Source organism: Homo sapiens, chromosome 5 (assembly GCF_000001405.40).
Source record: "Homo sapiens chromosome 5, GRCh38.p14 Primary Assembly".
Classification (NCBI taxonomy): domain Eukaryota; kingdom Metazoa; phylum Chordata; class Mammalia; order Primates; family Hominidae; genus Homo; species Homo sapiens.
In genome coordinates, this window is record NC_000005.10 from 4,846,294 (window position 1) to 4,868,951 (window position 22,658).

The 22,658-nt window shown below is 39.7% G+C and overlaps 2 long non-coding RNA genes across 29 annotated transcripts in view, besides 4 other annotated features; one reads left to right on the forward strand and one right to left on the reverse strand.

Annotated features, from left to right (window-relative positions):
- Nucleotides 1-20,960, reverse strand: part of LOC107986400 (uncharacterized) — a 137,038-nt gene extending 116,078 nt beyond the window's left edge. For 11 of the 28 annotated variants that reach the window (XR_001742563.1, XR_001742557.2, XR_001742567.2 and 8 more), the window contains exons 1-2: nt 19,723-20,061; nt 3,446-3,513 (exon numbers count right to left, since the gene is read on the reverse strand). This is a non-coding gene — a long non-coding RNA (uncharacterized LOC107986400). Of the gene's footprint in view, nt 1-3,445; nt 3,514-4,070; nt 4,202-19,449; nt 19,619-19,722; nt 20,183-20,287 lie in introns of those variants that run through there. The other 17 variants (XR_007059111.1, XR_007059113.1, XR_001742566.3 and 14 more) reach the window with 9 other exon arrangements.
- Nucleotides 8,655-9,156: an enhancer, noted in NCBI's record as "NANOG hESC enhancer chr5:4855061-4855562 (GRCh37/hg19 assembly coordinates)". NCBI's record gives its function as "activates a minimal SCP1, AML or CMV promoter by ChIP-STARR-seq in naive H9 embryonic stem cells {active_cell/tissue: H9 hESC(naive)}" and the evidence as "EXISTENCE:reporter gene assay evidence [ECO:0000049][PMID:30033119]".
- Nucleotides 14,972-15,125: a silencer, noted in NCBI's record as "fragment chr5:4861378-4861531 (GRCh37/hg19 assembly coordinates)". NCBI's record gives its function as "represses an EF-1alpha promoter that drives an FKBP-Casp9 reporter gene in an ReSE screen in HepG2 liver carcinoma cells {active_cell/tissue: HepG2}" and the evidence as "EXISTENCE:reporter gene assay evidence [ECO:0000049][PMID:32094911]".
- On the forward strand, nt 20,217-21,920 carry LOC105374629 (uncharacterized). Its single transcript, NR_188249.1, has 2 exons — nt 20,217-20,294; nt 20,986-21,920. It is a non-coding gene; the product is annotated as an uncharacterized LOC105374629 (long non-coding RNA).
- Nucleotides 20,222-20,722: an enhancer, noted in NCBI's record as "H3K27ac hESC enhancer chr5:4866628-4867128 (GRCh37/hg19 assembly coordinates)". NCBI's record gives its function as "activates a minimal SCP1, AML or CMV promoter by ChIP-STARR-seq in naive H9 embryonic stem cells {active_cell/tissue: H9 hESC(naive)}" and the evidence as "EXISTENCE:reporter gene assay evidence [ECO:0000049][PMID:30033119]".
- Nucleotides 20,723-21,223: an enhancer, noted in NCBI's record as "H3K27ac hESC enhancer chr5:4867129-4867629 (GRCh37/hg19 assembly coordinates)". NCBI's record gives its function as "activates a minimal SCP1, AML or CMV promoter by ChIP-STARR-seq in naive H9 embryonic stem cells {active_cell/tissue: H9 hESC(naive)}" and the evidence as "EXISTENCE:reporter gene assay evidence [ECO:0000049][PMID:30033119]".
- Nucleotides 21,921-22,658: the final 738 nt, after the last annotated feature.

A 22,658-nucleotide genomic window follows, 5' to 3' on the forward strand; every position in this document is an offset into this window, starting at 1 on the left:
CATCATGTTGCAGATGCTTAATTTTGAATTGTTTTGCCAATTGAGATGGTTTCACACAGTCAATAGTTCATTTTTCAAGGCATAATCTTCATAAAGGGTAAGAATTAATGTTAAAAATAGTGGCAATGATATTTACATTTCAAATAATTTACTTGATAATTTCATATTATGCTGGGGTCACCTTCTTCATAATCATAATTAAGGCACCATTTTGTTGTAACATGGTTGACAATAGGCCCATTCAAAGACATTTTCTTGTAGCTTTTTCATGCATAGCGTATTAGGAATTTCTTCAAGCTCCAACGTTTGCAGGACTTTTGAAAACAAATTTTCCTTGTATATGGACACCGCTGAGCTGCACTAAGTCACAATATGATATATGCAGAACAACTAAAGCAGCCAGCATCTTGTTAGTGGTATAACCCTACCATGCTTGGGATACCTGAGTACCATTAATTGTAGACCATCATCTGACCTTGACAAAGGATGGGCCCAAGGTCAACCCACATATTAAGTATGCATACTCATTTTTGAGATTAAAATAAATACAGAAAAAGTTGTAGAATTTTTTTCCTGGAGCCCAGTAGATCCTGCAATTCAAGTGATATTCACATCGTACTGTGAAGCCACTGGTCTAAATCTCTCCATACTAAATCTAAAGTTTTAGATTTTTAGCCTCTATAGTTTAAAAAAGTTCTCACATCTATGGGCTCTGGGCTGGAAATTCTGAAACTAACAAGAGTCAACAATGAGACAGTCCAATAGTAGCTCAAGAATGCACATCACCTTATTCCTTCATTTGAAGCAGATAGGAACATTTTTCTAATGATTTTTAAATTGTAGTGGTCCCATCAAAGAAGGAGCCTTTTTGCTGGGCGTGGTGGCTCATGCCTGAATTCCCAGCACTTTGGGTGGCCAAGGCGGGCAGATCACCTGAGATCAGGAGTTCAAGACCAGCCTGGCCAACATGGTGAAACGCTGTCTCTACTAAAAATACAAAAATTAGCCTGGTGTGGTGGCGCACACCTGCAGTCTCAGCTACTGGGGAGGCTGCAGCCAGAGAATCGCTTGAACCTGGGAGGCAGAGGTTTCAGTGAGCCAAGATCATGTCACTGCACATTCCAGCCTTGGCAACAGAGAGATTCCATCTCAAAAAAAAAAAAAAAAAAAAAAGGTGTGCGGGGGAGGGACTTTTAAATTCTTGACTTCTCACTCTTTATAAACTACTTTGGAAGGGTGGTTTCATTCATTCTCATACTTTTCCATTAAAACAGTTCTTAATCTGAATATAATCAGGGTTGAGATTTAAATAAAAAGAGAGACTTCCAACCCTTTTTTAAAATGAATTTTTAAAAGAAGATAAAAGAATCAAGGGGAAAACTAAAGAGATGGCCGTATTTCCTAGAGTTAAGCATGCAAATCAAAGGACAGAACATATGGGTGAAGAAAACTTCTCAGCAGGGTCAAATCCATAGGAGATTCTCATTGCTACCGGATCACGCTGTCCTCCAAAGACAGCCCGCTCAGATCAGGTTACCATAGTTTATGTACTTTATAAACTGAGCAAGATAAATAGTGTGTTAAGGCTTTATGGACTTGTTATGACAGCTAATTTTGTATTGCCTGACATAGTATCTGAGCAAATGTACAGATGTTCATTCATTTTCACTCCACTATAGATACTGTAAATTGAGTAACTCTGGAAGTCCAGTCATAACAGCTGACAAATATCCCTGCTACCTAGAAGAATGAAAGTTGTAAGTCACTGGACTTCAACCAAGAAAGTTAGCAGGGAACATGGGGGCCCATGCATCTTTTTAATGATTGCATTGCAGAAATCTACTGTGGGTTTCCTATGACAGTCTACCTGGTGGCTCAGAGGACACCTAATGAATCAGCCATAACTTTAAGTGACGTAAGGCCTGACAAATGAGGGGCTGCTGGCGTGCCTTTGAGTTTATCAGCCTCTCCGTGAAACCACCCATTGTGATCCAAACCTTGCCTTTGTTTTCTCCTTTACTGTGATCCCTTCCTAATTTTAAAAGGGTCAAATAGCTTTTACTGAACACAATGGCAGGCAGTCCTTCCTAAAAGTGTCACATGGCACATGACCCTAGCATATTTTCCTGCTCTTGAAGCTGACCAATCATTCTAAAGGGATTGTTTCCCAAATGTTATTCTCTGCAAAACATGCCAATATTTATTTGATTCTTATCCACAGGCTACTTATGACAGTTCATCTTTGATTTGAGGCTGATTAAAACATAATCTCCATGATAAAATACCAATTTTAAATATTTTCCATTTATTAAAGGGAATGCAGGAGTATCTCATAGCCTATATACATCAATAATTCCATGTAACTATTTGTACTGCTTATGATTTCCCATTTTCCATATGATTCTTGATTCCCAATCAAGAATCTCATGATTGTTGGTTTTCTTGGGGTGTATTTTAAACATCTTTGAAAATAAAGAATTTTAAAGAATATAAATGATAGAACTGATTAGATTATATATCTATATCATGTGCATTTTTGTTTGCTTTGAGTGTACGACTTAAAAATGTTTATGTCATTTTAAAGAGTAAAACAATAAATCAGTATTTTCAGATGCTCTTTGAGATTATCACGTCCACATTTGGTGTGTGTGTGAGGGTGTGTGGGACTTCTTTCACCCTTGGCTATAAACCAGAGGAAAGCAGTGATTAAGGTAATTGTGATGTTGTGAGGTTTTGTTGTTTTTCACTTATGTATATGTTTGTTGCTTGTTTTTGCTTATGTATATGTCTTTATGTATATATTTGCTTTTTAATGATAAATTGTGAGGAACAGAAACCAACACCAAAAAAGAATTGAATTGTAAATTGAGTCTAGTATTTATATTATTGTGCAAACAATATGAATAAAGCAAATTTCTTGTCATCATGGTGCTTCCCTTTACTGGAAAAACAAACAATAAAAAATTAAATATATACTACAATCTGAATTTCTCTAAAGACAAAGCAAGGTAAGATAATACAAAGAGAATATGGGTGACTTTTGTAGAAGAGTAAGGGAGAATATCTATGTGCACAAATGCAGAAAATAGTGAAAAAACATTTTTTTAAATATGAGTCACCTTTTTAAGCAACAACATTTAATAAGATAGTATTTAAATCTTAAGTATCAGCATTGCTTTTACCTCTAACTGTGTCCCAATATAACACACAACCAAATAACACTTTAACATCCATCTCAAACTTTTTTCCATTTCTAGTTTGCCAAAATTTGTGGAAGCATCCTTCCTGTCAATATCGTAAGACAGTATTTCAACTAGACAAAGAGATTTATCTATATGCACTTTCATCCATGCCTCAGTTGATTTTATGTTGCTTTTTTCATATTTCTTTTCCTATATTCCTGAGGAAATATTTTCAGAAAGAAATTTGGAAGGGTAAATGATACCTCTATGTTGAGAACCAATGGAGATGTTGAAGTAGGTTTTCTTAATGGAGAAGAGACATTGTAAGGTTCTTCAGAGAAAGTGTTGACAGATGATAATGATGATAATGATGGTGGTGGTGGTGGTGATGAAGAAGATGATGGTGATGATGATGATGATCGCAGAATCAACCAGAATGATGTTAAAGGGGACAAAAGGACCCAATAGAAAAGTTGGATATTACATGACATAAAAACAGAGATGACATTAGTCCTGAAGTTAAGGGGCTAGCTCATGCTCTGCCTTTACTTAACCAAATGACTCTGGGTTCCTCCCTTAAATTACCTGAGAATTGGATTTTTCTAATGTGGGCAAATGGGAGATATCAAGGCATGTTTGCCCTTCCCATAGGTGAGTAGTAGATTTTATTATATATGTAGTACTTTTTGCTGAGCCCAAAGATTTTTTTCAGCCTTTATTTTAGATTCAGGGGATACATATGCAGGTTTGTTACCTGGGTATACTGTGTGATGCTGAGGCTTGGGGTACAAATAAACCGGTGACTCAGCTACTGATAAGTACCTAAGAGTTAGTTTTTCACCCCTTTCCCCGCTCCCTCCCTCCCCCATCCAGTAGTCCCCAGTGTACCTTATTCCCATCTTTACAGCTCTGAATGCCCAATGGTTACCTCCCTCTTATAAGTGAGAACATGCAGTGTTTGGTTTTCTGTTCCTTTGTTAAGTTACTTAGGATAACGGCCTCTAGCTATATCCATGTTGCTGCAAAGAACATAATTTCATTTTTTGTTATGCTGAGCTCAAACTTAATTCCAGAATACAAGGTATATATTGTAAATTGATTAGATATACCCTTAAAGATGAAAACACATCAAGGATATTTTTGGTGGAGTGTTAGGAGGCACAAAATGTGAAACTGAAAGTATTCTAAGATCCAACATTATATAAATGGCAGTATTTCTGTCTTCTTTTAAACTGAATATTTTTTTTATATATACCCTAAATTTCTTCATTCATTCATCTGCCTATGGACACTTATGCTGATTCTATATCTTGACCACTGTGAATAATGCTACCATGAACACAGGAGTGCAGATATCCTCAAGGGGGGCTGATTTCCTTTTCCCTGGATATGTAACCAGAAGAATTGCTGGATAACATCATAGCCCTAAAAGAAAAATTAAGGAGCTTCTATACTGTTTCCTTATATAATGGCCATTCCAATTTACATTCCCAACCGTGTGTTTTCTCTTCTCCACACCCTCTCCATACACTTGTTGTCTCTTCTCCTTTTTACAGTAGCCATGTTAACAGTGAAATGATATCTATTGTGATTTTAATTTAATTTGCATTGTCCTGATTATTAGTGATGTTGAGCACTTCCTCACATACTTGACCATTTTTATTTCTTCTTTCGAAAAATGTCAATTCAGGTCCTTTGTCCATTTTTTAAATTGGATTATGTTTTATTTTTGCTATTGAGTTTTGTGAGTTCCTTATTAATTTTGAATGTTAACCTCTTAACAGATACATGGTTTACAAATACTTTCTTCCAATCTATAGCTAGATTATATACCATGACAAGTAGGATTTATCTCTGGCATGCAAGGTTGGTTTAACTATGCAAATCAATCAATGTGATACATCATATTAGAAGAATAAAGACAAAAATCACATAATGTCAACAGATGCAGAAAAAAGAATGACAAAATTTAACAACTTTTTATAATAAAAACTCTAAAAAATGTATATGACAATTTTCTTGACATAATAAAGGCCATTTATATAGAGCTTATTGCTAACAGCATAAAAAATTGGGAAAAACTGAAATCATTTCCTCTATGATCTGATACAAGGAAAAGACTTTTTCACTTCTTTTTAACATAGTACCAGAAGTACTAGAAAGAACACTCAGACAAAAAATAAATAAGTAAATAAATAAATAAATAAAAGGCATCTAGAAAAAAAAGAAGTAAAATTAGGCCTGTTTAAAGATTTCATGATTCTATAGCTAGAAAACTTTAAAGACTCCATACACACACACACACACACATGCACACACATACACAAACTGTTAGAACTAGTAAATAAGTCCAGTAAGGTAGCAGGATACAAAACCAATATAAAAAAATCAGTTGCATTTAATTACACTGATAAAAATATATCTGAGAAAAAATAAAGGAAACAATTCCATTTATAATAGCATCAAAAAAGAATAAAATACTTAGAAATAAATTTAACCAAATTAAAAAAAATTTACACTGAAAACTATGAAACATTGATGAAATAAATTGAAGTTACAAATAAATGAAAAGATAGATCATGTTTATAATTTAGAAAAATTAATATTGTTAAAATGACCATAAAGCCATAGCAATATACAGATTCAGTGCAATCCCTATCAAAATCTTAATAGCATTTTTTTACAAATATAAAAGGACAGTGCTAAAATTTTTATGGAGCCACAAAAGACTCTGAATAGATAAAATAATCTTGACAGGAAAAAAAAGTTGGAGGCATCATACATCACACTTACTGATTTCAAGTTGCATTACAGAGCTATGATAATCAGAACAATATGGTGAGCATAAAAACAACACATGGACCAGTGAAACAGAGTAGAGAACCCAGAAATAAATCCAAGCATGTATAGTTAGCTGATTTTTACAAAGGCACCTAGAAGACACCGTAAGTAAGGAAAGGATAATCTCTTCAGCAATGGTGTTGGGAAAACTGGATATTCGTAGGCAAAAGAAGTAAGTTAACCCCTTACCTTACACCATACACTAATGTCAAATCAAAAGTGAATTTAAAACCTGAATATAAGACTTGAAACCATACAATTCCTGAAAGAAAGCCTAAGGGAAAAGCTTCCTGATATTGACCTTGGAAATAATTTTTTGGATATCACACCAAAACCACAGGCAACAAGAGCAAACCTGGAAAAATGATCTGAAATGAAACTAAAACGCTTCTGCACAGCAAAGAAACCCATCAACAAAATTAGAAAATCCAAATGCTCTTTAAAGGTTCTCAAACAACAAGAGTAACTGAAAGATTAATATGAATCTTATTTATACTTAGCCCAAAATCGATTCCATTGAAATATAAAATAACTAAAATCTTAAATTGTGATTAAGATAATCCTTCCCTACTATATCTTCTGACCTTATTACTTATATTCCTATTTCTCCATTGTCATATTTAATAATTATTTCTGTTCTATAACCATAATTTCCATGATGCTCTTTCTTTAGTTTTATGTTTAAGTTGATTCATCTTTTCTCCAATTTTTTTACTTATTTATTGGCAAGTGGGAATTAGCAAATATGTATTTTATTTAAAAAACTCTTGCAATCTCTATCCCTTGAATTACTAAAGTTAAAATATATGCATGTGTTCTTTGTATTTGAATAACCATTTGGCTTGTTACTTTTTGCTATATTTACTTTTTAACATTTTGTTTTTTAATAATTATAGACCCACAGGACATCTCAAAAACAGTCTATGAAGTCCCTTGAGCCATTCACCCAGTTTCTCCCAATAAGGACATCTTACATTAATCTGGAATAAGATCAAAGCTGGGAAACTGGCATTGGCACAATATGGTTAACTGGACTACAGTCTTTATTCAGTTGTTACCAGTTTTTCATGCATATATTTGTATGTGTGTGATGTGTGTGTGCGTGTGCAGTTACATGCAATTTGATCCTGAGTGTTAGAACCACCACCATCAGTAGACAGATGAGTCATTGCTTTAGACCAGTGGTCCCCAAGCTTCTTGGCACCAGGGACTGGATATGTGGAAGATGGTTTTTCTATGGACAGGGGTGGTGGAGATGGTTTTTTGAGATGAAACTGTTCCACCTCATATCATCAGGCATTAGTTAGATTCTCATAAGGAATGTGCAACATAGATCCCTCACATGCACAGTTCACAATAGGGCGTGTGCTCCTGTGAGAATCGAATGCCATGGCTGATCAGACGGGAGGTGGAGTTCAGGCAGGAATGCTCACTCACCTGCTGCTCAGTCAGTTCCCAATAGGCCACAGATCAGTACAGCTCCATAGCCCCGGGGGTGGGGGACCCGTGTTTTAGAGGATCTCCCTCTGCAGCCAGTTATATCTCCATCCCAGTTCCCTGCAACTACTTATGTGTTCTCAATCTCTGTATCTTTCTTATTCCAACAAAATTATATAAATGGGCTCATGTGGCATATACAATTTGAGATTGGCTTTTTCACTAAGCATAATTCCCTGGATATTAGTTGTTACAAGCATCAGAGGTTTCTTCCTTTTCATTGCTGAGTAGTTTTCCATGGTATGGATGGCCTATGCTTTGCTTAACCATTCAGTCACTGAAAGACAACTTGGTTGTTTCTGGTTGAGGGCTATTCTGAGTAAAGCTGCTATGACCATTCATGACTAGATTTCTGTGTCACTAACAGGTTTCCTTTCTTTAAAACAAATGTCCAAAAGTGCAAATGCTGGGTTGTATAACAAGCATTTTTTATTTAAAAATCTGACAAACTGTTTTCCGGAATGGCTTTGTCACTTTCCATTTCCAAAAGCAGTGTAGGAGTGAGCTAGTGGCCCTGCAGCTTCACCAGCAGTGGGTATTTTCACCTTGCTGGCAGATGTGTCCTAGTATTTCAGAGTGATTCTAATTTATATTTCCTTCATGGCTAAAGATATTGGGCATCTTTTCACACCCTCTGTAGCGAAATGGTTGTTTGTACCTATTGCCAAGTTTCTAATTGGGTGGTGTGCTGTTACTGTTGTTGTTTTATACTTCAGAGTTTTGAGAGTTCTTTAAGTTCTTTATATATTCTACTTACAAATTCGTTGACAAATTTGTTGTTCACAAGTATTTTCTCCAAGCTGTTACTTGTTTTTTCATCCTTTTTATGGTTGTTTGGAGAACAAACATATTTTAATTTTGAAGAAGTTCAATTTAGCAAATTTTTAATGTATGGATCATGCTGTTACTGTCACATCTAAGAATTCTTCACCTAGTGCAGGTGAAAATTTTCAAAATTGCTTTAGTTTTAATTGTTCTAGGCCTTTTGCCTTTCTATGCAAAGTCCAGAATAAGCTTATCTATCTCTACAAAAAAGTTCTTGCTGGAGTTTCGATAGGCATTGCATTAAACCTGTAGATAAATTTAGGGAAAATTCACGTCTTTAATATGTTGAGTCTTCCAGTTTATGGACCCTGCATGTTTCGTATTTATTTAGATCTTAGACTTCATCAGTGTTTTATAATTTTCAGCACTCAGACCTTTTACATGTTTGGTTTGATTTATACTTAAGTATTTCATTGTGTTTATTTTTCATCATCAGGTAATTGGAAGTGAAGTTCCAGTTAAAACTTTGCTTTTCAGACACAAAGGCTGCCGTTCCCCCTCTGCCTGGCTGCCACTCCCTCAGGAAAGCATTTGCAATTGCAAAGCATCTCTTTATCTGGGGAAAATTCCAGGCACTGAGACAAGCTAGTGCATAGTCGTGTGCATGGGCTGTTTTTGAATGGGGAGGGCGCTCCAGAACGTGGTGGCCTTGAGTAGGGTCTCTGAACAACAGCCGCAGGCTGGCCCTCACCTTTCACAACCTCTTCCTTTCATCCTCACTTAGGAACCACAGACTTTCTAGAAATACCTGGGTTGTCCTTAGGGTTTCTGTCAGTGGATAAAGAGGCCATAGGTTTTACAACAGAATGAAGGTAACTTGAAGGACACAGGGAATCAGTCTGTAGTCTCCTTAAATGTTCTCTTTGGATTCAGAGACACTTAAAGCAGAGAGAAGGATATCTCACAGCTCTTGTAAGGTACCGCGTGCCTACGCTTGGTTTGAGTGGCCGTTTGGATGTGGAATTTTTACTTTCATCAGCAGTTTCCTTGTGCAGAACACACGTCGTGAAGGGCTTCAGGGTGTCCAGAAGTTGAGGTGCGACATGTTGCAGGGACCAGTGTGTCATGAGTGAGGGAGACGCAAATCTCTGCACCCCATGGGATCATCCACATGGCCTGTGACACAGAGATGGCTCTGCAGCCTGAGAGTCCGCTCCCTGACAACCACAGGGATCTGGAATAGAGAATCACACTTGTGAGAGTGTGTGTACATTCATATATGTAATTTTTGTCTGATTTGTGGTTCACTAGTTTTTATTGGAATTCCTTTCTCTATTTTATAATTACACTAGCTCTAGTTTTTCCTTGTGGACATGAAACCTGACCCTCTCAGTACTAATTAGAGATGTCTAATGGGAAAACCACACATTCTACCAGTGTCCACCACAATAAGCCTTTCCAGTAATTGATGTACTCCAGTGGGTCACATTTCATTACATGAGGTGACTTCATAAACCGATTTGACAGGTTATGTGACCACATGATTCATCAACTTCACAACCAGGCTTGGGTGGCACCTGGCGGAGCAGCAATGCAACCTTAAAGTGGGTGAGTAGGAAAGAGTAATTTGCATTATTTCATAAATAGTTAAATACTTTGATATCTACACTAGGAAAAAATGTACCTGCAGCTCACATTCTCTCTCAGTGCATAAAATGGGGCCTTGTGTAACACAGACGAGCTAGGAATAGGGAAACATTTTAGACAGATATTCCATTTCCTACGGACTTTGGGGAAAAAGTAAATGTTTGCTCCCTAATTCTCAGTGAAGACTCTTGGTAGGACTTTCATTACATAGAAGAATAAGACGGCAAAAAATCTTCACATCCCCTTTGTAAATCTCCTGAAGTCTTCTCTGTTAAGGAAAATGATGCCCACATTACTACTTATAAAGTGAATCTATGTGGGAAAAACAGATAATATTCATGCTAATCATTTGTTGTGAAATTTGATTATTGGTAAATTGGATTTTGGTACTTTTTTTGAAATTTGAATCAATGTAGATTAATAATTATAATAATAAAAGATGTATTTTCTGGTTTGAATATGTTTTAAAATTAAGTTTCCCTAATAAAGAAATACACTCAGGATTCTATATCATCTAAAGGTAACATAATGCTATCAATTAAAATGGTCTTTATTACTTTTTAGAGATAACTTTTTAGGTAACACATTCCAAGTATCATTTGTTCCACTCAGTGATATTCATCAGCTAGTTGAGGTCTGATGAACAGATTTAGGAGACTGAAAATTTGGAGCAATATGCTATTAAAAAAAGATCTAGGCTTTTTTTGTGTGTGTGAAAAAGCATTCTTTTCTTGAGCACCACTGACATAAAAGGCAGATGATATAGAAATGTCCCAAAAGTCAGACGCATTGGAAAAAAAAGAATAAACAGGAAAATGCCTGAATCCCCCACAGACGCCACCAATTTTCCAATCCCTGGATGCAGTTCCATAATGCAATGAATTTCATCATAGCCCTATTCACCTAGGATATGAGTGCCTTGGAAGTATAATGAATCTGAGGTGATGTGGCTCCAGCCTCCAACCCTGAACAACCAGGAGACTCCTGGAGTCTAATTGCTGCACCAAAACTCATGAGCCTGATCCCTCTCTCTGCATGAGAAGTAAACTGTTTGTGTTCTCTTTGATTTCTAGTACTGCTATCAGAAGATGGCCCTCCGATTTGATGTTAGGAGCTCAGCTATTTCGGGGTGGTTCCCTCCTGCCAGCACCCTCTGATGCATTCCTATTCATTATCCCATTATCCCCTGTTTTGGGGGTGGTTCCATCTCCCATCACCCTCTGATGCATTCCTATTCATTATTCCCTGTTTTGGGGGTGGTTCCATCCATCCAGCACCCTCTGACGCATTCCTATTCATTATCCCCCGTTTTGAGGGTGGTTCCATGCATGCAGCACCCTCTGATGCATTCCTATTCATTATCCCGTTTTGGGGGTGGTTCCATCCATCCAGCACCCTCTGACACATCCCTATTCATTATCCCCTGTTTTGAGGGTGGTTCCATCCATCCAGCACCCTCTGATGCATTCCTATTCATTATCCCGTTTTGAGGGTGGTTCCATCCATCCAGCACCCTCTGATGCATTCCTAGTCATTATCCCCTGTTTTGGGGGTGGTTCCATCTCCCAGCACCCTCTGATGTATTCCTATTCATCATCTTCTAATCTTTCCCACACTCACATTGTTTTCTGAAGATTTTCTGCTCCTGGTTTTCCTCTCTTTCCCTATGTTTCTCTTGTCCTAAGCAGCCTCAAAGTTCCCAGGACTCACTCTCCACCACACCAGTCAACCACATGTAGCTGAGTCACTCCCTGAATGTTTGTGTCCTGGCTTAGAATCCTGCCACCACTCTAATCCCTCACCAACATGTGTATTCATTGACCTCAGCCTACCATTTATCATCATTTCTTCTTTCTCTCCTATTATGCCTGTTGCTTGACCTCACTGAGGCTTACATCATGCGCCCATGAGAGTATACATTCAACCCGGTGCCTCTGTTGTACCTACTCTGGAAAATGACACTGTGTTTCATGTAATAAGTCTGCTGAGGAGCACCTAACTATTTTGCCATGTTGCCATCCCATTGCTTCTACCCATCAAATGCCAGCCCTTGATGATTTCATGTGCTTGCTTTCTCTAGGCAACACCAACAATTCCGAAAAATCACAGAACTGTACAGATTGGTGCCTTTAAAATTCCTGATCTCCACTCTAAACTGGACAATTATCAATAATATTATCTGTTAACACTTATATATTTCCCTTGACAAATCCTACTCCCAAAGGCTAATTCAAAACTTTCTTCTTTCTTAAAACTTCACACATGACTACCTTCCTAATCAGTCCAAGAAAGTCATGTCTTCTCAGAGCATATAGAACTGTCGAGAGATTCAGGCTGAAGATGGAAGTGTGAAACATCTCTACCTACCTGAATGGCAAACGAAGATTGAAGAAAAAAAACTTTTAAGAGAGAGGGGTGTGAAACACAGACATGAATCTCTACAACTGTCATGCAAAATAAAGAGCTGCTCAAATCGCTAAGCCCAGGAAGGTATCATCCACATTGGTTGTGTGCAAAGATGAGCTTCAAGAACAAGACCAATGCCATGTCACACTTTTGATAAGAAACCAAAGGTGGGCAAGAGGAGTAACTGCACGTGTACACCATGTCTCAGAAAAGCCAACAGGAAGAGTGCAGGAAGACAAATGAATGTACACGGGCGTCAGCTTGACCAAAACTGATGACGGTTGAATGCCAAGTGATCCCACAGAAATCTGCCTCCTTACAAACTACACATGTGTCTCCAGCTCACCAAGCAGCTTGGAATGCAGAACAATAAGTGGAGACATGTTCCAGACCAAGGAAGGCAACAGGTTCCATGAGAAATTGTCCTGAGTCAACATACCTAAATTAAAATTTCCTCTGGCCTAGGGCAGGCCTCACTCTGTTCCTCCCTGCATAATTCTTTAAAAATATCCAGATATGACTTTACATTCAAAATCATGAAAAAAGTAAGGAAAATGGAGTGAGTATAGTTAAAGACAGAATAAGAAGAGTCAACAATTCCAGAACCACTGTGTGAGCAGAGGGGCATTGAGGAAACTCATAAAGATTTGGAAAATAAATCTTAAAAGGATTAATTTAAAACCATGAATAGAGTGAAAATAATTTTCAGCAGAGTCAAAGCAGATTCAACATCCTTGACCCAGATATGATAACTCAAGCTGTAGATGTTTCTGTGCTGTGATTCCCATTTATAAAAACAAGCATTAGGAGCCCTGAAAGAGAGAATACAACAAACAACTGACCGGAGTGACAGGAAGGGGAGATGAAAAGATATATGGCCTTACAAATTATGTAATTGAGGTTCCAGTTAAAGTGGACTGTATTATGGCAAGGAAACAAAAGACATCATGATTCTTTTTATAAAACCAACATAATTGTGATACCAGAACCTGTCAAGGACACACACACACACACACACACACACACACACCCTGACCATCACCGCAACAACCAACAGAACAACCTCACTGCAAATATCAGTGTAAAATTCCTCAGTAAATTATTAACAGGGAGAATTAAGCAGTGCTTCAAATAACTAACGAGGTTCATGGATAAAAATATTCAATTATATGTATTTATTAACTAATCAATTAAATGTTAACTTTAATATAAATCATTGCAATTGATGTTAGTGTGGTATTTATGATTAAACAAAAATACTCTTAAAATGAACATATAAATATCTTCCAAAATATAAAAATGTATGGCCAAATGTGTAGGCAGATGCATCTTGAAAGATAAGAGCTGTGTTCTATATTGAGCAATAGCTTCTAGTTATCCTTTAGCTAATTTGGCCATGGTCAGAGCCCAGAGAACTAGCAGCATGGAGGGTTCATGTTAGCCCTAGAGCAGACAAGAGCTTGAAATACAAAGTCAGAGTAAGTCCCATTTCAACAAATCAGAGCTCATGCCAGATCATCTCCAGGAAGTAGGCAAACTAAAGAGTGAAAGCAGAAAGATGTACAAAAGGGACCCCCAGGGGTTCCTGGCCTTGACCAATCCACAGCTATCAAGAAACCCTTGGGAGAGCCACGTGATAGGACACCCCAGGTAATGCTGAGGATCTTACAGCAGAAAAGAATCGTCCTGACTTCCTGCCAGGATCCTGGGAGGAAGCTGCTGGGGCGACCCCGACATCCACAGGGGTCAGCTGTCACCCAAGGGCAATGGTGACGAGAACGTGTGGACAGAGAGTGCCTGGGGTCCTTCCCTCACAGGCATCATTGAGTGCTGCAGAGGGTCCCTCCTTCAGAGACGGAGAGAGAAGGTAATGACCACCACAGGAAGGCTATCAACACCAGGAAGGGAGCACCCACGTGCATCGGGCTGGTGGTGTGCCAGGCACGGTTGGAAATATTTTACATACAATAATTTACTTTTAATAGCAGGACTTTGAGCTGGTCTTATTTTTATTTTCATTTTACAGACTCTCGCCTTCTATGTGCTCATGCACTGTGATAATGCATGCTTTTTGTCATTCCTCTTGGCCCATGGCCTCCTCAACATGCATTCTATGCATAACTTTATTGCCTGCTTTCTCTGAGTATTTTCGAGTTCAGCCTCTCAAAATAGATACACGTTGGCATATCTCCTCTTTGTTTGCCAGCCCAGATCATGGACATAGGCCAGCCCATGGTCTGGCAGCCCTTGGTTCGAATCTCTTCCAATCAACAAAGGAGACTGGAGCGTTAGTCTTGGAATAAAATGAGGCAGTCTAGGTCTTCTCCATCAACAGGGCAGTGGGAAAAATGGTCACCCTGTCTGGCATGGCCTGTGCAGACTTTATTTTAAAGATGAGAAGGTAATACAGACAGGAGAAGCAATAGGTGAAAGGTCATCACTAACTCACAAACCTGGTTTCAGCATCTTGAAAAGTATAGAGTCGTTATCTGAACTAGATGTCTAAAACAGACGACCATTTTCCACGGTGACATTTTGACATCCCTTAACCCCTTTCTAGCTCATCTCTCCTTCTAGTAATAACAGTTTATGATTTATAACATTGTATCTTTATTTTTTAAATAAATCTGAAGTAGCAAAATAGGCTTCTATCTCTGAATCTGTAAAAGGTAGCTGTTGGAGGCTATGAAGAAATACTTTTGCCAGGCACGGTGGCTCATGCCTGTAATCCCAGCACTTTGGGAGGCTGAGGCGGGCAGATCACCTGAGGTCAGGAGTTCAAGATCAGCCTGACCAACATGGAGAAACCCTGTCTCTACTAAAAATATAAAAAAATTAGCTGGACGTGGTGGCACATGCCTGTAATCCCAGCTACTAGGGAGGCTGAGGCAGGAGAATTGCTTGAACCTGGGGGGCAGAGGTTGCAGTGAGCCAAGATCACGCCATTGCACTCCAGACTCAGCAACAAGAGCGAAACTCCATCTAAAAAAAAAAAGAAGGAAAAAGAAAGAAAGAAAGAAAGAAAGACAACTTACTTGACTTTACACTCAGCTTTACTCCCTAAAAGAGAAAAGAGTGTTTTCATACACCTACCCCCACCTGCCACATCAAATACTGTCAGAAAATACAGTCTGATTTTTACTCAACAGTTTGGAGAAAGAAAGAAATTTTAGTAACATAAAGGTTTCAGTCATGTTAAAAAATTTAATTTACAAATGATTTACCAAGTTTAGAAGGATGTTCTCTCTTCGACTATTTTAGTTACTTCTAGGAGACAGCTAATTTAAATTTATAAATTGACTTAAAAACAGTATTAGATAAGTTTATCTGTTTTCTAGATAGCTGTCAACTGGTCAATTCATATTCAGTAGTTGATCTAAGTGAGAAAATAACCAGCAAATAAAATCCCTTTATCGGATCCCAAGTAGGCTTTTAGATTAGCAACATTCTTGGAGATCTCCTTGTTAAGAACACTGTGAATACAATATAAAGTTCTACACAGGCAGTCTCTGAGATGATACATTCTCATCTTGAGTATTTTAGGAAATTGAGACTGTCTTATATATAAGGAAACCAAAAAATATTTAAAGAAACTGTTTTCTAGATAACCCTTTATTCCCATTTATTTGAGAATACAGAGGGTCCATGTGATAGAAATTATACTCATAATTATTTAATCTCTTCTGGCATTTCCTTATGAGTTATTCAAATGAAATTATAAATGAATTAAATCAATTATGTGAAAGTAATAGCAATCACTCAAAATACTTTATCTCTGAATGAGAGTAAATTGTTTCAAAAAGCTTAGCCAATATCTTTGAAAAATGTTACACCTTGTTTCCTTCTAACAATCCAGGAAATTTCTATTTAAAGAATTGTTAAATGTAAAATTATTTCAAAAAGAGGACCCTGGAGATATTTTTTTAAGTTGAACACGTACTGTGTGTTTAATTTGTGTATATGTTAAGAGACATAATCCTTTATTTATTTTGGAAGAAACTGCAGACACACCTAATGCACACAGATGGAGCTCTAATTGATTTGTGCTTGTTCTCAATTTAAAACTTCTTTAAAAATCAACAGTAGCACATTCCAAAGTTTAGCTTGGAGTGCCCTCTGCTGTTCTTAAGACAGTAATACAAACACAGGTTAAATTTATTTTTCTATTTAAAAGAACAAATTGTTGATAGCCTTATAACTTTAACCATATAATCATGAATGTATGCTTTCTACAGGGTCCTTGGAAAAGTGATTGCTTAGTGAATTATAACATATCTAATTAAAAAGTCTTCCCAGATAGAAGATAGGTGGATGATGATGATAATCGACAGATAGAAAGATAGATGATAGACAGTTAGATAGATGATAGATAGATGGATAGATACTGAGATAGATTTGTATTACAAAACCAGTAGATCCAAGCTTACATCTCCAATTTTTGATATAAAGATAAATTTTCCAGTGTCTGATATTAAGCTGGATGTTGTAACTAATATAATGTAGCACTGGATTTAATTGTGTCCCCTTAAAAATGCATATATTGAAGTTCTAACCCCCAGTACCTCAGAATGTGACCTTATTTTGAAGCAGGTTCGTTGCAGGTGTCATTACTTCAGATGAGATCATACTGTAGTAGCATGGGCCCTAATCTGATATGTCTGGTGTCTTTACAAAAAGCGGATATTTAAACACAGAGACACACAGAGAAGCACATAGGGAGAACACCATGGAAGGCCGAGGACTGAGGAGATGTGCCTACAAACCAAGGAACAGCAAGGATTGCCAGCGAACCCCAAGGAGAGGGGAGGGGCCCGGAGCAGATTCTCCCTCACAGCCTCAGAAGGAACCTGCTGCCATCTTGATTTTGGACTTCTGGCCTTTAGAACTGTGAGATAATACACTTCTGTTGTTCTAAACCACCAAATTTGTGATACTTGGCAATGCCAGCCCTGGGAAACTAATACCAATGCAAAGTTAGAAATGCAAAATTAGTGTTGCATTATGATTGAGAAAATTCGAAGCCCAGTGCAACAATCCCATGCGATGGTGCCAGGGGTGAGCCGGGAGCTCTGCAGCTGCTCTCTGCAGGGATGCTCTACAATCCTGCCGGGTCGGGCCCTCATCACCACTAACCATGCAGGACGCTCAAAGACACAGGTGGGCTGGTTAGAAGGGGCTGATCTTGAATTGAAACGCAGATGTGGCTGATCACTGAAACCGCCTCTTCTGCAGGCCCATGATGATTCTACTAGCTCACGTGCAGGTACACATTCACATGCATGCATGCACACACATGCACAGACGTGCACACACACACATTGTGCATGTAACTATCAGCATTTTGGTCAAAACCATTCAACGTGTCTCTAGGAAGTTCCAAACTTTCCCACATTTTCTTGTCTTCTTCCAAGCCTTGCAAGCTGTTCCAACCTCTGCCCATTACTCAGCTCCAAAGTCCCCCACTCTTCTGACAATTTTCTATATTAGTTCGTTCTCACACTGCTATAAAGAACTACCTGAGACTGGGTAATTTATGAAGAAAATAAGTTTAATTGACTCACAGTTCTGTGGGCTTAACAGGAAGCATGACTAGGAGACCTCAAAAACTTACAATCTTGGCAGAAGTCAAACAGAAAGCAAGCACCTTCTTTACATGGCAGCAGAAGAGAGAGAGTGAGGGGCAAGTGCCACACACTGTTAAACCATCAGATCTCATGGGAACTCTCTCACTATCACAAGAACAGCAAGGGGGAAATCAACCCCCAAGATCCAATCACCTCCCACCAGGACCCTCCTCCAATTCGACATGAGATTTGAGCAGGGACACACATTCAAACCATATCAGTATATATATTGCAGATACTAGGTTACGTGAGTGAGCATCTATGAAGAAAATTTCCTGACATGACACTGCAGCAAAAGCATGTGTACTTTTTAATTTTTGAAAGTTAATAACAAACAATCCTCCTGAAGGCTGTGATAATTTCTACTCACTTCAACCATACACGAGAGTGTCATCAAAAGCAAAAATTGACAAATAAGATCTATTAAAACTAAAAGATCTCCTGTATAGCAAAGGAAACTATTAATAAAGTAAACAGACAACCTACAGAATGGGAGAAAATTTTGGCAAACGATGCATCTGAAAAGGTCTAATATCCAGCATCTATAAGGAACTTAAACAAATTTACAGGAATAAAACAAACAGACCCATTAAAAAGTAGGCAAAGAACATGAACAGACACTTTACAAATGAATACAGACATGCAGCCAAAAAGCATATGAAAAAAAAATACTCGGTGTCACTGATTATTAGAGAAATGCAAATCAAAACCACAATGAGATACCATCTCACAGAAGTCAGAATGGATATTATTAAAAAGTGAAAAAACAACAGATGCTGGTGAGGTTGTGGAGAAAAGGGAACACTTATATACTGTTGATGGAAGTGTAAATTAGTTCAACCATTGTGAAAAGCAGTATGGCCATTTCTCAAAGAGCTAAAAGCAGAAATGCCTTTCAACTCAGCAATCCAATTATGGAGCATATATCCAGAGGAATAAAAATCATTCTACCATAATGACAAATAGACATGAATGTTCACTGCAGCACTCTTCACAATAGTAGAGACATGGAATCAACCTAAACGCCCATCAATGACAGAGAGAATAAAGGAAATGTGGTACATATATACCATGGAATACTACACAGCCATAAAAAAAAGAATGAGATTATGTCCTTTGCAGGAACATGGGTGGAGGTGGAGGACATTATCCAAAGCAAACTAACCCAGGAACAGAAACCAAATATTGCATGCTCTTACTTATAAGTGGGAGCTAAATGACGAGAACACATGGACACAAAGAAGAGAACAACAGACATTGGGGCTTCCTCGAGGGTGGCGGGTGGGAGAAGAGAAAAAAATAACCACTGGGTACTAGGCTTAATACCTGAGTGACAAAATAATCTGTCACAAAACCCCTGTGACTCTGACTTCTTGGCCAGGTTTATTCTCAGATCTGATTCCTGCCATGATCCCTCGTGAAACTGTGCTACTTTCAGAAGAATGTGGATTCTGCGTTTGTAATTATAACCCTGCTAGAATGATTACTTGATTAAGGTTGACTTTACTCCCAGCCTGTAAACTTGAGATCAGCTTATTCGTAGTTAAATGGTAGCACTGGCTTCCATGCTGTGCCTGCTGTCAGTAGGTACCCGGGTAATAGGGAGTAAACCAGCAAGTTCTATGTTCTGAAAATCCGCTCGAAAGCCCATGTTAGCTGGAAAGGTTTGGGGAAATAAATTACTGTCTTAGTTCATTACGGTTGCCATAACGAAATACCAAAAACTGGGTGGTTTATAAACAACAAAATTCATTGCTCACAGTTCTGGAGTCTGCAAGTCTAAGATCCACGCAGGGGCAGATTCAGTGCCTGGTGGGGGCTTCCTGGTTCATAGATGCTGGTTGTCTTCTGTCTGCGCCATCACGTGGTGGAAAAAACAAGGGCGTTCTTTGTCTCTTAAATAAGAGAACGAATTTCATGTACCAGGGTTCCGCCCTCATGACCTTCCACGTACGAGGGTCCCGCCCTCATGACCTTCCACGTACGAGGGTCCCGCCCGCATGAACTTCCGCGTACGAGGGTCCCGCCCTCATGACCTTCCGCGTACGAGGGTCCCGCCCTCATGAACTTCCGCGTACGAGGGTTCCCGCCCTCATGGCCTTCCGCGTACCAGGGTCCCGCCCTCATGGCCTTCCGCGTACGAGGGTCAGGCCCTCATGACCTTCCGCGTACGAGGGTTACGCCCTCATGACCTTCCGCGTACGAGGGTTACGCCCTCATGACCTTCCGCGTACGAGGGTTACGCCCTCATGACCTTCCGCGTACGAGGGTTCTGCCCTCATGACCTTTTCACCTTCCGGAGGTCCTGCCTCCTAGCCCCATCACCTTGCGGGTGAGGATTTCAACAGATGAATATGGCGGTGGGGGGGTGTAAACATTCCGATCGCAGCAGCCACCCACGTATCACCTTGGTCTGGGGTGTAGCAGGCATTGCCAGGGCTCAGCCAAAGCCGGGCTCCAGCTGCTCGTGGAGATAACAAAGGCTTCTGTGGCCTCATCTACTTCATTGTGACGAGGTCGAGGCTGTAAGGGGCCAAGTGGATGATTTAGCTCAACAGCTAAATGATGTTCTGGGAGAAAGGGACTGAGGCTGCCGTGGACAGTGGTCATCTCGGGCTTCGAAGTATCTATTCCAGCTTCCTAAGGGCTCACCCTTGTCCTGGGGTGAAATGATCCTCCCACCACGCCCACAGCCCACGGTGGAGGGGTCATTCCTGGCACCTCCTCCCGCAATTGGATTACAAGGGTTCCCAGGCCGAGTCCACTCCGCGGCTGCGTGAGAGGTGGGATGCGGGCAGAGCTCAGCCGCCCGCACCCGCTCTCCCAGGGCCCTTAGTGTTGAGCAGCAGTGGGAGAACCGTAAGGCTGGCTGGAGACGTAGGTGGAATCCTCCGTATAAGTCTCAGCTGTCCTCTTCAGTCAATTGTGTGCGCCTACTGCACCTTTCCCGGCGTGGCCGGTTCCCACCACCCCACCCCCTCCCGCCCCCGTCAGCCAGAGACCCTTTTCCTTTAACTTCTTAGGTCAATGTGAAGTCAACGTCTAATGGACCCGAGTTCAGCCAAGAACACACACCAGTTGTTCCAGGGAAGAATCTCATGGTGAAGCACTAGTGAGCGTCCAAGCAACTCCCAGCCTAACCTCACCGGTCTGACTGTGGGGCTGCTTCTGCCACGGCTCCTGGCTGGCGATGGGGCTGTCAGCGTGTCAGCCAACCATGCATTGCAGATGCACTTTGAAGAAAATTAATGTACCTGGGTACTTATGGGACTCCCTGAATGAGTGGGTATAATTGAAATAGCCGGGACATCAAAAAGCTGGAACACTGGGAGCCTGGCCCTAGGGTGGCGGAGGCCACAACGGAGCCCCCAGCCGGTTGGAAAGAGGCTTCCTATGCTCTCCTTTCCATGCCACTGCGGAAGTGCTAGGGAACAGGAAGACCAGGGCATTGCCAAGTGAATAATAACAACCATGTGTGCGGCGTTCACGATACCCCAGGCTCAGTGAGCCTTTTACTCAGGGTCTCATGTGATGCTGAAAACAATCCCATGAAGTTTAGAAGCCTGTGCACACGAAGAGACGTGGTGTTTCCCTATTGATCCAAACTGCATGCTGACCTGTTCCTGCCAGGGCTGCGCTCCTCCTGCTTTGCCCTGGCTCTCCCGTTCTGCACTCCCTCTTCTACCGGGAATTCCTGGAAGCACCTTTTATTCACAGTGCCTGCTTTGAATAGATACAAATACAATTTGTATCTTATGTAGTCCATTCCACACAATTGAAAATATAATGTAATAAAAATCAGAAAAGTAAATCCAGGAAAGTCTCTAACACATATTAGGGCCTCAATAAATGGACCCTAAGAGGGTGGGGAAATGGCTTTGGTTTTTAACTGTGCTTCTTTTGAGCTTGATGCTGTTAACTTAGTACAATCTATCAATAAATATCGTCATCAAGAAAATATTAAAGGTGTACCTGAGTCACAGGGGAGGAGGTGCAGGGCTTCTGAGAAAATGTCCTTCAGTCACCAGCCGGTGAACAATGGGACTCGTTATTGTCCCCTCACCCTGCATACCACCAGGGGGCACTGATGAGCTGAGAAAGACTCTGTGGTCCAAAAACGGTACCAAATGAAAAGGCCACTTCCCAGCCTCTGTAATAAAAGGCGAAAAGCAGTCAGGGAATTTAGTCAAGACCTTATTCAGATGGCGGGAGGAGAGGGGGCGGAGCAGCCAGTGTTGAAAAGGGTTTTATCCAAACCAGTTTAATATCTTTAAAAAAAATTGTTGGGCATTTTTTTTTTTTTTTTGAGACGGAGTTTCACTCTTGTTGGCCAGGATAGCAATTTTTACTTCTGATAATTTTCTCCTCACTACTGTCAAATCAAGTTTAGCTTAAAGCTGCCTTCTTACATATTTTCAATTTCGCCTAAAGGTTTTTTGGTACATTAGAAACTATAACTGTGTAAACAGACTGTAGCCCATACACTGAATTTGGCCAATCAAATGTAGCCAACTCTTTGAACCTTGTTCTAATAAGGCCAACACCAAGTTGCAACCAATCTAGCTGTTTCTATACTTCGATTCCCTTTTCTGTCCATAAATCTTCCACCACACGGCTGCACTGGAGTCTCTGAGCCAACCCTGACTCAAAATGCTGCCTGATTCATGAATTGTTCCTTATTCAAACACCTTTAAAT